The 17,072-nt window shown below is 39.6% G+C and overlaps 1 protein-coding gene and 1 long non-coding RNA gene across 3 annotated transcripts in view, besides 2 other annotated features; one reads left to right on the top strand and one right to left on the bottom strand.

The window, feature by feature from the left end:
• LHFPL6 (LHFPL tetraspan subfamily member 6) overlaps positions 1–17,072 on the top strand; it is a 260,302-nt gene that overhangs the window by 84,409 nt on the left and 158,821 nt on the right. The gene's annotated exons all lie outside the window — the stretch shown is intronic.
• Positions 2,210–13,479, bottom strand: LOC105370170 (uncharacterized). The gene is made up of 4 exons (XR_007063765.1): positions 13,062–13,479; positions 9,319–9,382; positions 6,398–6,489; positions 2,210–2,295 (listed from the first exon to the last, which is right to left on the bottom strand). It is a non-coding gene; the product is annotated as an uncharacterized LOC105370170 (long non-coding RNA).
• Positions 2,955–3,636: an enhancer, noted in NCBI's record as "NANOG hESC enhancer chr13:40089286-40089967 (GRCh37/hg19 assembly coordinates)". NCBI's record gives its function as "activates a minimal SCP1, AML or CMV promoter by ChIP-STARR-seq in naive H9 embryonic stem cells {active_cell/tissue: H9 hESC(naive)}" and the evidence as "EXISTENCE:reporter gene assay evidence [ECO:0000049][PMID:30033119]".
• Positions 5,818–6,317: an enhancer, noted in NCBI's record as "H3K4me1 hESC enhancer chr13:40086605-40087104 (GRCh37/hg19 assembly coordinates)". NCBI's record gives its function as "activates a minimal SCP1, AML or CMV promoter by ChIP-STARR-seq in naive H9 embryonic stem cells {active_cell/tissue: H9 hESC(naive)}" and the evidence as "EXISTENCE:reporter gene assay evidence [ECO:0000049][PMID:30033119]".

The following is a 17,072-nucleotide window of genomic DNA, read 5'->3' as shown; positions in this document are numbered from 1 at the left end:
ATCATGGCAGGGGGATGGCGGGGGATGGGAGTAGGGGCCTGAGTGTCTGCATTTTTCAGAAGCTTTCCAGGTGGTTCTAGTAGATGCAAAAGCTGAGAAATACTATTGTAGAAGGATACAAATACACAGGTGTGGCCTTTAGAGATGCTTCCAACCCTGAGTTTCCTTATAGGTTGATTCAGTGTGAAGTGTCAAAAAGTTTTGGAAAGATTTAGAAACTTACAAACATATGAAGTTAACAAAGAAAAAATATACATTATAGTAGAATTATTTACCAGTAAGAAGGATTTTCTACTGGGCTATTTCAAATAGAGTCTCTAGCACATTCTACATATAAGTTGATTAAAAAATATAAGGTGTTAAAAAATACAAGATTGACATACAGTTTTTTGAAACACATCTAACTGGGGAAAGTAGCCAGGATGTCTCAGACCTCTTATATTTTCCCAGAAAAGAAGTTGTTTGAGACCTAAAGTGTTGGTACTTTAATATTTTGGGATCTGGGAAAACTAACTTTAAGTTTGCATTATTATTATTAATAGGGAGGTACCAGTACAGTTGAGTTAGACAAACATCTAATGGGAGATTTATTGGATGAAGTGAAATTATGGAGGTCTCTGAGGTCTTTGAGCGTCGCTATTCGAAAGTGTTTAAACTTTATTCTGAAAGCAGGGGAAGCCATCGAAGCAGGGGGTGACCTGATGAGATTTTCACCTGAGAAAGATCACCTAGCGGGAATGGATGAATTAGAGGAAGGGAAGGGCAGTGTGGAGATTGGAATCCCAGCCAGTAGCTTATTTCAGCAGTCTGAGCTAGAGAAGATGGCACAGGCCCACCCATGGCTGGGGGTGGGTGGAACAGAGAAGGTGGGAGTTGTGGAAATGATCTCCACATAATTTATCTTCTAAATCTGGACTACTGTGAGAGTAAAGGGAAGTACAATTAATAGTAACAGCAGGCTGGACATGGTGGCTCATGCCTATAATCCCAGTGCCATGGGAGGCTGAGGCAAAAGGATCCTTGAGCCCAGGAGTTCAAGACCAGCCTTGGCAACATAGAGAGACCCTATCTCAATTTTTAAAAAATTATAATAATAACCCCAGGACAAAAGGTGTACATGGAAACTGTCTCAGACAAACAGGGACATATAATGGTGCTAAATGTGGAGAGAACAAGGACAACTTCTAGGGATTTTTCAAGGAGTTGAGGAAAGCTGGACAGAAATTTGTATCTGGAGCTCAGGAAAAATGGGCTGAAGACATGTATTTGGGATCTTCAGTATAGACAATAGTGATAAAGGATGATGTCTGGATTAATTACATTCATTTAAGAATTGGGATAAGAAGGAGAGAGCCAAGGATCCTGTACCTATTTGTAAAACCAGAGCAAAAAAGTATTGTTCATCTGATCCTCTTGAAAATCATGAATGCTTAGAACGTGAACAGACAGGGTTTGTCCTTCTTTCTTTTCTCCCATACTATGAAAGTTCACTGGCTTAACGTGTGGTGTCTTCATTTATCCTCTTTGTACTTCATTATTTCTTTTCTTTCCAATCAGCAAATTGCATTTTAAATAGTCTTGGGTACTCAGGAACTAATTATATAATTCAGAAGTTCTCATTACCCCCCTACGGTCCACAGTATTTTTCTTTCAAACCTTTAGAGATTTGGCAACCCTTTCCCTTTAGTACCATGGTGGGTTTCTTTAAAGCAACTTCTAGAAAAGGTATTATTTTTGGGTCATGTGGGGAGATCAGAATTTTTGTTTAACCTCTTCTTCTGAAACTATATAGCACATTCTGCTTCCAACGTGGAAGATTTAATCACCATCATGTGGCGTGCATTAAATTAATAGAATGCTACATGAGCTGATTTAAGAGGCTTTGTATAATAAGTTGATCAGCTGCATTGGTACGACTCCCTCCACTGTTGGCACTTTGGATGTTTGCTTTGTGTTTTGACTGTTGTCTTTGGGACTGTAAATTACTCAGGAAAGCTCATCAGAGTAAATCCACATCTAATTTTCATCAAGATTTTTATTTTATTCAGCTTTACTGTTTGGCTAATTGAGGCGTACAGAGGCCAAGTGCCTTGGCCAAGGTTATCGAGCATGTTAATATCTTAGCTCAGACGAGTTTTCTTTCAGTCCCTGTTGATTCCTGCATTATATATTCATCAGTCTGGTAATTAACATCCAGTCATCCTTGTTGCTCTCCTTATGAACTGGCTGTGTTTAAGGGTTCTCCACACCAGTGGGATTTATGGGAAGTCTGCATGTCCAGGCATTATCTTTTATCTGAAAACGAGAAACATATAGAGATCAATTATGATAATCTCCTGCATGGCAGATGCAGCTCTCGAGGGATTTGTTACCCCATGACAGCAAAATCAAGCCAGGGGCTGCTCGGCTCACCACTTGGACGCTTGAGCGGAGTGGAATGATAAGTCATAGACTGGTATTTGAAGCTGGCATGGTAGAAGGCAGGATGGCCTGCAAATAAATTACTTCATTTTAGGGGCATGAAGCCTTTGCCAGGATAGAAATGTTTGGCATTCATTTCCTAGAGGCTACTGGAAGTGTGGCATAGCTGTTAGATTTTTGTTGCTTGAGGGCTTTGTCTGCCCAGATACAGAATGTGAAGCGTACAGAAATCCAGCTAGGAGACTATTCCAGAAGGATCAGACAATAGGAACTCGTAATTAGCCTCCACAGTCCTGAGTCTTATAGGATATGCTAGAATGCAAAATACTTTGAAAAATTCCTGGGTTGAAATTTAATTTAAATATATCAAGTTGAGTACCATGAATAAAGAGAAGGGTATACTGTAATTATGTATAACTCTTGAGGTATGAATTCATCTAAAACTACATTCAAGCTATGTTTTTTTCTCCCTGGTGAAACTGTATTTCCATAGTAATTTTCTTTTTTAATGAAAACAAATAGTTTTTATTATTGGCCTCCTCTCTTAGTTAATAATGCTTTTTATTTTAAGCAATTCCTGTAATTTGTGTCTCTTTTCTTCTGTCTCTCATCATCACGCACACATCTGTATGGCAGGGAAGACAATGTTAATGTTAATATAAGGGCAATCAGCGAGCCAGTTAATCACCTACCCCAGCACAGATAGCTGGGAGCTGCTTTGCTGTCGGGCAGAGATAAATTAGAAAGGGAGAATGATGATTTAAACCAATGCCTTAGAATGATTATCAAACAAAGGCAAGCATTTAGCAAGCTGTTAAGCCGAAGAGAAATCCCCAGGAAGGAGAAAGGCGACAGCCTTTATCTAGCAATAAGGGCAAATGGTAAGAATAAAGTGTCAGCCCAGGCACACTTTATGTCAATTCAAGTGACTAAAGGCCAATTTGGTGCAGCGTGTTTGGATCATATGTTGTAAAATGCATGACCTTGTTTCCTGATGCTGATTTATAGCTTGATGTGCTTCAAGCTTTATTTTCTTTCATGAAAAAATCCTCAACCCTTGATGGGAAAGTGGCAAACCTGAAGTAGCTGCAGAGGTCTGAAGGCGCATTGCTTCTTGAAGGCAGCGCAGCTCATCCCTGGCTTGGATTGCTTTGTGAGTGGAACTAACAGGCAGGGACAGTGTCTTGTCAGAAATACCATAAAGTGTAAAATAGAGTCAGGTTCTTTGCCAGGTGAAGTGGGCAGAGCTGTTAGAGGTACAGCCACTCCACTTAAAGGGGATTCAGGTCTCATCAGGATCCAATGAACGCAGTTCAATAGCAGTGGCTCGGATGGTCCTCAAAGGAATGTGTAGGGCTGATTTGGGAGTTATTTATTGAATTGATCTATTCCTGCGAATGCCTAGAAAACTCACATGTTCATCTTACACATTCTTGGAGCTTGTTTTCCAATATGTGGCATTACGTGGGGGATAGAGTCCCTGCCTTTAGCACTTCGCTATTTTTCTTCTGGGTTTTGGCTGGCTGGAATTAAAGTTTCTACGTCAATCATGTCCTTGGTTGGCTTCTTCCACTTTGAGAATATTAAACTCTTTCTTTTATATGTAAGTGCAGAAATGCATTCACGTTGAATTCAGTGTTTTGCTTCCCTTTCCCTGTTCCTGTTTTTGGAGCTGTGCTCAGGTTGGGGATGTAACCTTGCCCGCCTCTCATCCCCTGGCACTCAGTTAACTTTGGCTGGGTAATAATGCACTGCCCAGGTGGAGTTTGGGGCTCACATTTCTTCAGTGAATTTTGTGTTCATGGGTAGCTTGGTGTTCCTGCCTAGATTATTGTGGTGCTCATTCGTGACTGGATCAGAATGATAAGCTGCTTTTCAGAGCAGGTACAATACCTACTGCCTAGGGACCTGTGTTGATGCCAGAGCACTTTTCCTTTATTGGTGTAAACAGTGAGTACACTAATCCCTCATCATCAAGAGAACAGACTTCCAGTCATTGCACTGCTGAGCTCTGGATGTGGAGAGGGGTTGGGGCTTTCATTGTGTGCTTTCGGAAGAGACCCTTGGACTTAGAGCTTTGTCACTTGTGACCCCGCCCTTCTCTGCTTGTTAATTCATTCATAACCAGGGAAATAAGAAGGAATTGTAAAATTCTGAAGCTCTAAGAGACTTTAGTCCCTTCTGATTATTTAGTTTACATATGAAGGGAGTGAACCCAGTTACTTTAGTTTGGCCAGTTTAAATGATCAGTAGCTGGGACTAAACCAGAACATGGGTCTCGTGATCCTCAGCTAAAACCTTCTTTGACTCCATCACTCAGGTTCTCCCTGAGATGAGCACAGTGACCAGGAGCAGGGATTAGGAATAATTGTTGGGTTTCCAGAGTCAAGTTGCAGAGTGGGCTGAGGATGGGCTCATCAATTTTTTTGACTGGTTCTCAGAGTTAGAAGGGACTGAATTGTGTGTATTATTTATCTCATAAAATATCCAGTACGGTAGGGATCACACTATACACACTAATAAATAGAAAGACATTATGTGAACTAATGAGGGTCATATACATGTTGTAGGATCATAAAGGCCTGTGTTTGGATCTTGAAAAGATATATAACCTTGGACAATGAAACTTATCCTCTCTGAAGTGTAGCTTCCCAACTGTAAAAAGGAAATAATACCTACTTTATAGACTTATTGTGAGGAATAACTATGGTAACATATAAAAGCTCCTGATATAGTAACTGGAATATAGTAGGTACTCAATAAAATGCAGTTTACTTTTCTTATTTTGACATTTCTCCATGGCTTAGATTAGTAAGCACCCTCTAGAACATGTAGACTTATTTCTTTACTTTCTGAACTTTCTATCTTTGTATAGTTTTAGCCTTCAAGATTTCCAGAGAATATTTTGGGAAAAAAATTCAAATAAAGGCCACTGGAAGGCATAGGATAGGAAAAGAAGCCAAAAGTAAGACTGAATGTAGAAGATAATACAAACTTGGGAGTATAAGAGATGAAGGCTGAGAAAACTTTATCCTGATGATTAGAACACAATAATTGTTTTAGGTCAGAATCCCATGTAATTTTATAAGAAGGGCCATGCCCTTCTTATTCAGTTAAGCAGCTCTTTTAACTGTTTTAAAAGAACAACTAAAACAGTTCTTCTAACTAGTTATTTGATTTGCTCTAAAATGATCCCATGTAACTTAGGACAAAACCTCTCACAACAACTGTTTCCAGTTAGTAAAATTTTAAGGTTATTTGCTATTATTCAGAAAATGCCCATTTGATGCTTCCAAAGGACAGGAAATGGGAGTTGGGAAAAGGTACAGATACACAGCTAGCAAATGGAGAGGATGTTCTTCTCTAATAACACCCAGGACAGCGTGGTCATCAGTCATGACAGTGGCCAATAGCAGAGGAATGAAAGGCAGACAGTGTCGCGCGTGCCTGGGCACGTCTTTCAAGCCTGCCATCTCACCTCTCCAACGGCCAGGAATGGGCCTTAGCACAAAACTGGCAGAGAGAGAGACTCTCTTAATAGATACTTATCTTGTCTTCTCCCAGATTCCAAGCATGCCAGGCCTGGTCAAGCTGTCCTACCTGCTTTTAGAATTGAAGAATTGTCTGAATACATCATGAATATTTTCCAAAACAACTACACAGCAGAACAATTTAAGAAGGGAACAGAACTGGCTAATCATTCTGTAACTGATGGAAGAGAAATTTGGTCTGATTTCTTTTTCTTTTCTTTTTTTTTTTTTTGAGACGGAGGCTCGCTCTGTTGCCCAGGCTGGAGTGCAGTGGCGCAATCTCGGCTCACTGCAAGCTCCGCCTCCCAGGTTCACGCCATTCTCCTGCCTCAGCCTCCCGAGTAGCTGGGACTACAGGGGCCCGCCACCATGCCCGGCTAATTTTTTGTATTTTTAGTAGAGACGGGGTTTCACCGTGTTAGCCAGGATGGTCTCGATCACCTGACCTCGTGATCCACACGCCTCCGCCTCCCAAAGTGCTGGGATTACAGGCGTGAGCCACCGCACCCAGCCTGGTCTGATTTCTTGTATGTTTGACCTGTTTTGAAAATAAGGAAGGAAAGGCATTACTTGGGTTTTAGTCAAGAAAACGTTTCACATAGAGCTGCAGAATGACGGTGAGATGAGAGAGAACAGGAAATCAGTGTTAAGCAGGAAGAAGAAGGTAAGGCTTGGGAAGCTGTTGAAACAGTAGGCACATGTTTAAGACTTGACATTATCTTTATACCTTAAAAGTCTTTAAATTACAAATAAAGTATTAAAAACCCATTTTAACCATCCATCCCACTTCAGAACCAGAAAATTCTAGGTGTTAATAGGTCGTCTCATGGATACTTGTGAACTGCCTGTCAGAAAATGTTTCGAGGCATTTACTGGGATGGGTAAGAAATATAACTTTCAGAAGGTGTTGGAAAATCCTGAGTGAATGATAGGAAGCTACAATGGAGGGTGCCTATGTGAGGATTATTATCAAGAGCATTTCTCAAGGATAGCTCTGTACTTGTTTTTGCTCCACAAAGCAGATACCTAAAAACAGGTGTAATCTTACTGTAGAGCACCAGCTACAGAAAAATACATAGCAGGTATCTTTTCAGGCTAATTCTTGATCGAGAGAAAAGTAGACTTTAAATTGGTGATTGATTCCAAAAAGAAAATTAGTGGCCTGGGGTTATTCATTTTTCATAAAGGAAAACTTCTGTAATTGTTAATAGTATATTCTAGAATATTCTTTGTTCATAAAATCAAGCTAGTTGGCCTGGAATGCTTAATTTTTACCCCTGACTTTAGTTGAATCCTTTGTTTACTGCTGTTAGGTATTCATCAGAGGTGGCGAATGTATCTCTTTTCTGTCTTTTTTTTTTTTTTTTAAGAATTTAAATCAATTGACAGGGGTTAGGAACAAAGAATGCTGTGATTGATTACTGATGTCAGCCAAAATGGGAGGAAATATGTTATTTTTTATGCCTTCTAGTTCATCCTCATTTGCAATTTTTTAGCCAAAAATGACTGTATGTATAATATTGTATTACTTTAAGAAATAAACAAATTTGACAAAATGTTAAGATTTGAAAAATTGGAAAGTGGATACAGAAGTAGCCATTACATTAAATACCCATGACTTTTTTTTTGTCCATTTGAAAGACTGCGTAAGAAAATATTTTGGCTAGGTGCGGTGGCTCACGCCTGTAATCTCAGCACTTTGGGAGGCTGAGGTGGACGGATCACCTGAGGTCAGGAGTTTGAGAACAGCCTGGCCAACATGGTGAAACTCCGTCTCTACCAAAAATACAAAAATTAGCTGGGCGTGGTGGTGGGCACCTGTAATTTCACCTACTCGGGAAGCTGATGCAGGAGAATCGCTTGAACCTGGGAGGCGGAGGTTGCAGTGAGCTGAGATGGTGCCACTGTACTCCAGCCTGGGCAATAAGAGCGAAACTCCCTCTCAAAAGAAAAAAAAAAAATTTAAAGTAATGATTACAAATACCAGTAATTTAATTTCAGGTTTAAGTTGTATATTTCAAACTGTAGTTTTCCTCTTCAATTATTTTTTGTTTTATTTTGTTTTATATAACTTTTTCACTCAGGAAGCAAAGTTGTCCACTTCTGTAAATTTCTGTAATATTTCCATTTAGCTAGTTCTGTAACTCCTGACTTTCTACCTGCTTCTCCATTGTGTGTGTGTGTGTTTTCTCTTTCTAGAAAGATGTGTTCTGATCTCTTGATTGACATAAGGTTTGTTGAAGAACTGAGGTTATAGATCCAATGATTTCAGACTTATGTAAAACACTATAGTTTCTCAGGCATCTGCTATCCCCACCCCACAATGCTAAAAGTAAAACACCTGCAGCAGCTGGAGAAAATTGGTTCTGGACTTTCAGTTTCTAATGACCTACCCCTGGGGAGAAACAAACAGCTCTCTTGGCAGTTACTACAGACATCGCCACCTCAGTTTGCCCCAGGGCAAAAGTTACACTGCTGGAAAAGTGTCAGGTGAAAACAGGTTTTATAATTAAGGACAAAAAAATAAAGGAAACTTGGTGAATCTTTCTTATAAACCAGTGCTGCTCAGAATATATAATTTGACAGATTTAACTCTACCTTCAGTGGGTGGTGCTGCAATGTTTAATTAGTTTTTACTCTCACGTGAAGTGCTTTGATTGTATAGGACTCCAGAGCAATGCATATTTATCATTACGCCTCATTGTTACCATCTGCAGAGCAGTCAGTAACCATCAGCAGATGGGCAATTGAGTGGGATTCAGTCTTCCTGCAGGATTCTCTTTGAGCACCGTGAGTTTCTGTCTTAGAGCCTATTTTATTTCTTGTAATCTGTAAATTGTTACTTTTATATCGTCTGGTTCATGCCAGTTGTAGTATTTTTATTTTATTTTTTTGAGACCAGGTCTCACTCTGTCACCCAGGCTGGAGTGCAGAGGCACAGTCATGGCTGACTGCAGCCTCACCCTTCCTCTCAGCCTCCCAAGTAGCTGGGACTACAGGCACATGCCACCCTGCCTGGCTAATTTTTTAAATTTTTGTACAGATGAGGTCTTGCTATATTGCTCAGGCTGGTCTCAAATTTCTGGACTCAAGGGATCCTCCCTCCTCAGCCTCCTACAGTGCTGGGATTACAGGCGTGAGCCACTGTGCCTGGCCCCATCTTTATTTTAAAGCCCCTTCTTTATTGGTCATTTTGGCATTCCTAAAGAAAAAGCATTGATAATACTGGAATAGAAGAAAGCTTTAAAATAGTCCAAAAAATTTTTTAAAAGAAATATAAAATAGCAAAATAAAAAAATCAAATTTAAAAATAGGCATATACAAAAAAAAACTTCAGCGCATACCTTAAACCAACTTCAGCACATACCTTAATCCAGAGTTAATCTGAACCGTAGTATGTTCCTAAATCTCAAACCCCAACTATAAAACTTCTAGAAGAAAAGAGAAAAAGGAAATATTTATGACCTCGTGTTAGGCTAAGATTTCTTAGATATGACATTAAAGGTGTGATGGATAAAAGAAAAAAAAATGAATGACTATTTGCAAATCACATACCCGATAAAGGATTTGTATCCAAATTATTTAAAAATATTCAAAACTTGATAATAAGAAAACAATGCAATTAAAAATGGGCAAAATGTTTGGACAAATATATGGATGGCAAATACCCACATGAGAAGATGTTCACCATCGTTTCATGGATGGCAAATAACCACATAAAAAGATGTTCACCATCATTTATCATTTAGGAAATGCAAATTAAAACCACCGTGAGATACCATTCAGTGCTTACTAGAATGACTAAAGTTAAAAAGACTAACCATACGAAGCATAAATGAGAATGTGGATCAACTGGGAGTTTCATACACTGCTGGTGGCAATGTAAAATGGTACAACCATTTTAGAAAACAATTTGGCAACTTCTTTAAAAAGTTAAATACATATATACTGTATTACCCGAGCCAGTCCATTCATAGGTATCTACTAAAGAGAAATGAGAGCATGTATTCATATAAAGAGTTGTGTATGAGTTTTGTTAGTTGCTATATTTCTAGGAATGCTATTAGCCCCAAACTGGAAACAATGAAGATGTCCATCAGTAGGTGAACTGATAAACAATATTGGGATATATCCATACACTGGAATATTATTTACCAGTGAAAAGGAATGAATTTATAATACATGCAACAATGCAGATAAATCTCAAAATAATTATGCTGAGTGAAAGAAGCAAAACAAAAAGAGTACATACTGTATGATTCCATTAATATAAAATTCTTGAAAATTCAAACAGATCAATTGTGAAAGAAAGCAGATGGATGGTTTTCTAGGATGGGGAGTATAGAATGGAATCGGGGAGGAAGAAATTACAAAGTAGTATGAGGAAATGTGATCAGGTAATAGATATACTTATTATCTTAATTGTGGTGATGGTTTTGCCATTGTATGTGCATCAAAATTTATCAATTGTGTACTTCAGGTATGTTAATGTAATTATATGTAAATTATGGCCTGGGGCAGTGGCTCATGCCTATAATCCCAGCACTTTGGGAGGCCCAGGCGGGTGGATCACCTGAGGTCAGGAGTTCAAGACCAGCCTGGCCAACATGGTGAAACCCCACCTTTACTAAAAATACAAAAATTAGCCAGGCGTGGTTGTGCACACCTGTAATCCCAGCTACTCGGGAGGCTGAGGCAGGAGAATCACTTGAACCTGGGAGGCGGAAATTGATTGCAGTGAGCCGAGATGGCGCCATTGCACTCTAGCCTGGGCAACAGAGCGTGACTCTGCCTCAAAAAAAAAAAAGTAAATTACAACTTAATAACACTATTAAAAAGAAAAAGAGGGAAAAGAAAGGGGAGGGGAGAAAAAAAGGGAAGGAAGGAAAAGAGAAAGAAATGGGAGGGAGGGAGGGAAGGAAAGAAGGGAGGAAGGAAGGAAGGGAGGGGAGGCAAGATAAAGCCTGGACTTGAAATCAGAGACAAATCTTGGATTTATCATTTACTTGCTGTGTACCTGTGGATAAACTGCATAGCCTCTCTGAACTCAGTTTTTCTTTTCTGTAAAATGAAGTTAATAATATCTACCACATACTCAGATACTGTAGGTAAAACTATTTTTCTATATGCAGATTGCTCAAAAAATATTTGGTATTATTATGAATATTACTGATGGTATTTGACAAGCAGATACAAACTGCAGCAATTTCAATATTTGGCATTATTATGAATATTACTGATGGTATTTGACAAGCAGATACAAACTGCAGCAATTTCAATATTTGGCATTATTATGAATATTACTGATGGTATTTGACAAGCAGATACAAACTGCAGCAATTTGGGGCATTTCCCACATACTTTGGGGAGAAATGCCTGCAGTCCTTTGAGATGGGAGGGGGTGTTAAAGTGGATGTGATGTAGAGAGAAGCAGCAAGAATGTTTATCTTTTTCTGTGAGAGGGAAAATAAAACCCCAAACTTGCTAGACCTCTGACGGCACAGGAAATGCACTGCAGCTTCCCTCCTGTCTGGGGTCTACAGGTCCTAGCATGCAATGGCCTGATTTCATGTGGGCCACAGAGCACTGCTTGTAAGGACGTGTAGCTTCTGTTGGCTACCCGTGATGGAGAGGAACTGAAGCAGAAATGGGCAATAAATTCTTAATGCATTGCACACATTACGCATCATGTTATTTTTAAACAAAAGGCATACCTTGCATTTTCCCAGTAAGCTAGAATGCATTTATGTTTACCAAAAGGTGGCCAACTATTGCTTGGATAACCCGAACAGCTTTTATAAGCACAAACGTGTTTATACAAACTTGTTTAGAAACATGCATGCACTGTTCAAAAAAATTTGCAGTTTTTCTTTCCATTAAACATCTCCTTCTTGGCTAGCTCAGAGTGTGGAAGTAAACTCAAAGCACTAAGCCATTTAAAATAGAAATCAGAATTTAATAAGGGAATGTCATGTTTCATTTAAAAGCTTATCTTCACCTCCTTTTCTTGTGCTGTCAAGTGAAAGAAAAGCTAGCTTTATAATTACATAGCTGCCTCAGCTTTAGCTTATATGTGAGATCTCACATTATTTTTCCACACCTTCCCCCCCACCTCCCTATCCCACCTCCTTCCTTCTCTGCCATTCAACCCTTTCCCACCCTGACTTGCTTTCTTATGCTTCTTAAGGAGCTGACAGAATGATGGAGCTCTGTTGATTAAGCTGCTGAGTGGCGGTGGCCCTTATTAATTTAGGGGTCACAAGCAAAAAATGAAATGAAATAAAATAAAATAAATGACTTTAGTGTGAAATGTTTCTCACTGTGGATCATCATCCTAGCCTGGCTGGATAGAAAATTAGGTGATTTTGGTTTCCACTGCTCAGAAGAGCGTGAAATCCCATGGGACTCAACTTTGACAAATGTTTACTATCTTCTCTGAGGTCCTTTCTCACAGTTGGTCTTCGTATTCATCACTGAACACCATTAGGATCCTCACCCCTTGTTAAGAACTTGGCCAAGGAATTAGCAGCGGGACCCTCAGGTGCTCTTTCACATACATTTTTATGGTAGCCTCTTCTTGTTTTCCTAATCACATCTATTAACCGCACTGTTGATCACAGAATATTACGTCCACAGAAGCCAGAGCTGAATATTGGAAATCATATTGTTCCCTAGAAACTGTTATTGTAAGGAAGTAATGTAAAAGATCATAGTGTAGTATAAAACCATATTATTATACTTGGGGCTGTTTTGTCTGTAAAAAGAGATAGTTCTTGCTTGATCACCTGCATGACAAGGTGATCAGTTTTGAATGCAGGCTTTATCTGAGTTGAGTGGTTAGAGGTTAAAAGGAGAGATGTTCCGCAGATCCTTTATAATAAATGATGAGGACTGAGAAATTATTGATAGCTCCTCTGTGGCAGTAAGATAATGCATCCTTGTTTAGAGGATAATATTTTCATTTGTAATATAGACAAAATGTCATTTAGAAAATGTATAAAAGTGGATAATACCCTTCACTCTATCACTGGAAATCTGTAGTGGGTACAGACCTAATGAAGTTTCTCAGCTTTAGAAGGAACCAAGAGAGTCAGCTATTCTCTGTCTCACCTGTGAATCCCTCCACAGCACCCCCAAACCTTGTTTGACACATTCGGTGAGAAGGAACTTGCTACCTCACTGTTACTGGATAGTTATATCAGAAAATTCATCCTTCTTTTAGCCAAAATCAGCCTCTCAGGAATTGAACTAGTTGATTAAACTCTGCCTTCTGGAGCCTCTGAGGATAAATCAAATCTGTTTCTGCCAGGAAGCCCTTCATGTGTTTTTTTTTTTTAGACAGTTCTCGTATCTCCTCTGAAGTTCTCTTTTCCTCCACCAAGTAACATAATCCTCATTTCTTTCAGTAGTTTGTCACTCAACCTCCTCTGGGGTCTTGCGCAATTCCTTATGCATAGTAGGCCTTCAGTGAATGTTTGAGTTGACAGATTCCTGACATCAATTATGTTCTGAGTTCCACTGAGATTCTACTGACAACTGTCTTCTACTCCGATTCCGCTCTCTAGAATGTGGAAATAGCAGTGATTCTGAGGATGTTTTCATGCTGATAACATCTATACCTGATTGATGTTAAACCATTCTCTTGACCTCACGTTTCCTCCTGGAATGGTTGACTGGTCCTCCCTTCCTTTCTCTTTTGCGTTTGCATCAATTCCCAGAGAAGAATGTTTAAGAGAAAAAGGTGTGTTTGTGTAAATGAATCTAAAATGAAAGATCTAGGAAAGAAGCCTAAGCTTTGGGGGAACATACAAGTCCTTTCATCTTTCCTAGTTGATGGAAAAAACTAGAAATTGTAGTTGTAGTTAAATTCATTTTAATTCATTCATTTATGTAATGAGCCAGGTCATTTTTATTTATTTCAGGAAGGTCATGTACATTGAAAATGACATTATACAATTTCCTCTGCGGTTTTGGCAGCATATATGACAGCAGGCAAAGATGTAGGGGAATATGCTTATTCCTGAGCATAAGTACTAGAATTAGAAGTGTGGGGTTTCCTCCCCAGTTTCATGTGTGACAGCACTAACCTTCAGTACCTCAGAATGTGACTGTATTTGCAGATAGTCTTTAAAAAGTTAATTAAGTTAAAATGAAGTCATTAGAGAGGGCCTTAATCCAATGTAACTGGTGTCCTTAGTAGAAGAGGAGAGTAGGATACAGACAAGTACAGAGGGAAGGACCATGTAGGATGAGCAAGAAGGGGACCACCTGCAATGCCAGCCAAGGAGAGAGGCCTCCGGAGAAACCAAACCTGCCAGCATCTTGATCTTGGACTTCCAGCCTCCAGAACTGTGGGAAAAGAATGTTTGTTGTTTAAGCCACCCAGTGTGTGATACTTCATATGTGAGCTCTAGTAAACTAATACAGCGAGGAAATCTTCTAATTTAAATTCTGAAATATGCAGTCGAATTAAGATTAAAGAAAAGATTTAAGATCCCATAAGATATAACTACAAATATTTGGTCATTAATGATAATGTTGGATCTACTAATCTTATTCATCTGGATTTATTAATCTGAAATAATACCAGTCCTTCCCATTTAAGTTTTGAAAGGAAAATTTATAAAACATTGTGATTAAACTATATGCTTTAAAACATTATTCTGTGCTACAGATATATTAATATAATTTAAAACATGTTAGTGATCCTTCCGGTGACTCACTGATGCCTTGCCTCACCACAGTCATATATTTATTATTTAGGTTGGTGCAAAAGCAATTTTTGCCATTAAAAGTGATGGCACTATCAAAGCTAACATTTTTGGCAATGGAATGATATACCAAAACTTCTAATTTTACCATGTTATCATCTTTCTTATTTATACATGGTCTGCCAGCATGTTTAATTGTTAGACTCTTCAAGAACTTTTGGAGGAAGCTTTTTGTATTTGACTTGTCAAAAGGCACATTCTGGGAAATTGATCTGGGCCCTAAATAGGCATTCAGCAAGTTATTGGCAAAATAAGTCTGCTTGTCAAACTGTGGGTGACCTACTAGTGAGTTGCAGCCAAGACTTAATAAAGTAAATTTGAATAGAATTGGATAGAGAATATCAGTGTACAGACATAGTAAGGTTACGTATTGTGTAAAATTTCTTTCAATTATATTCATTAATTCAACAAATATTGAGCACCTACTGCATACCAAGCACTGTTCTAGGTGCTTGGGATACATCATTAGACTGACAAAAATCCTTGGCCTCATGGAGCTTTCTCTGTAGTGGGAAAGATAAATAATAATTAGCACAATAAGTAAATTGTGTGGTATGTTAGAAGCTGATTGTGCTATGGCAAAAAGAAACAAAGTGGCAGGAGGGGATTGGGAGTTATGGTAGTATGTGGGGGGGATGGTTGCAATTTTAGATATTAATAAAATGGTCAGGTAGGCCTTATTGAGCTGCTGTTTGATCAGAGACAGGAGGCAAGAGAGTTGACCATGTGGATATCTGGAAGAAACGTGTTAGAGGCAGAGGGAACAGTCAGTGCAAAGGCACAAAGGTGGGAATTCCTAGAATGTCTGTAGAATGGCTGGGAGGCTAGTGCCTTTGTGAGGAATGAGGGAGGGAGCGATGTGTCCAGTGGTTGAGGGTGCCGGGTCAGGTAGCATTTATAAGTCACTGTAAGCATTCTGGCTGTTCTGAGTGCAGCTTGGAACCACCCAGAGTTCTGGGCATAGGACTCACATATGTATGGATTGTAATTGAAAATGCATTTATTGGCTAGGTGTGGTGGCTTGTGGCTGTAATCCCAGCACTTTGGAAGGCCAAGGTGGGAGGACTGCTTGAACCCAGTAGTTTGAGTCTGCCATAAGCTATGATCGCACCACTGCCCTCAAACCTGGGTGACAGAGCAAGACCTTGTCTCTAAAATAAATAAATAAGATACAACAATAATAAATACAAATTTAAAAAAGAAAATGTATTTATTACTCTGGAAAAGACTAGAAGAGACTGTCATGTTAAGGAATCTGTAAAAGTCCCATTAAATGGAGTTTCTGTGTTTAGTATGTTGGGAGTTCCACAAATGGTCTTTTAACTTTTGATACTGGTTTACCAAACCTGAGGGAAAATAGAATCACTTGGGGCTTTTTAAAGATCCTGTGTTCCAGCTTCACCCTCACCCTGGACTTACTAGCTCAAAACGTATGTGTGTGTGTGTTTTAGAGACAAGGTCTTGCTCTGACTGGAGTGCAGTGGCTTGATCATGGCTCACTGGAGCCTCAAGCTCCTGAGCTCAAGTGACCCACCCACCTCAGCCTCCTGAGTAGCTGGAACCACAGGCGCGCCACCATGCCTATTTTTTTTTTTTTTTAATTTTTTGTAGAGACGGAGTCTCACCATGTTTCCCAGGCTGGTCTCGAACTCCTGGGCTCAAGCGATCCTGCCGCATTGGCCTCTCAAAGTGCTGCGATTACAGGTGTGAGCCATTGTGCCTGGCCAAAATGTGTATTTTTAATATGCTGCTGAGTTGACTCTTGTATGATCAGGAGGAGCATTTGCGAATCACTGATTTTTTGAAAAATCTGAGTTCAGTTTCTGCCACTTCCTAGCAGTCAGGCATTGGCCAAGCTACTTAACCTCTAGCCTCAGAGCCTTCCTGGCAAGGCCATTTTGAGGTGTTTGTGCACCATCTGTGACACACACAGCAAACACTGTAAATGGGAGCCATGTAGGGCCTGGGGATTTTCCCCAGTGTGGCACTTCAGAATCAGAACAAGTGATAAGGAATCCACAAGAGAGTGATTTACAAGAAAACAGAGTTCTGCCCATGAACAATTAGTTGTACTGCAGACCTCCTGGGCCCTTGGCTCACTGTCCTGCGAGAGTCATGTGGCCTGGTGAAATCTGTGAGCCCAGGTCCCCTTTGATCTGGCTAATTATAGTGAAGCATGGAAAAAATGTTAATTGCTTGACTCTTGGCTCCTCTTTTTCTTAGCCTCATGCTTCTCTGCCCTGGTTCGCTCTGGGCCAGCCTCTTGTCAAGCTTTTGAACACATGGTTGATGTCTCTTTAGAAACTCCATGACCACACTAAGAGCAGGGGTTCCAGCCTGCCCTCTCCAT

Source organism: Homo sapiens, chromosome 13, assembly GCF_000001405.40.
Source record: "Homo sapiens chromosome 13, GRCh38.p14 Primary Assembly".
Lineage (NCBI taxonomy): Eukaryota > Metazoa > Chordata > Mammalia > Primates > Hominidae > Homo > Homo sapiens.
This window is presented reverse-complemented; position numbering and strand designations above follow the sequence as displayed.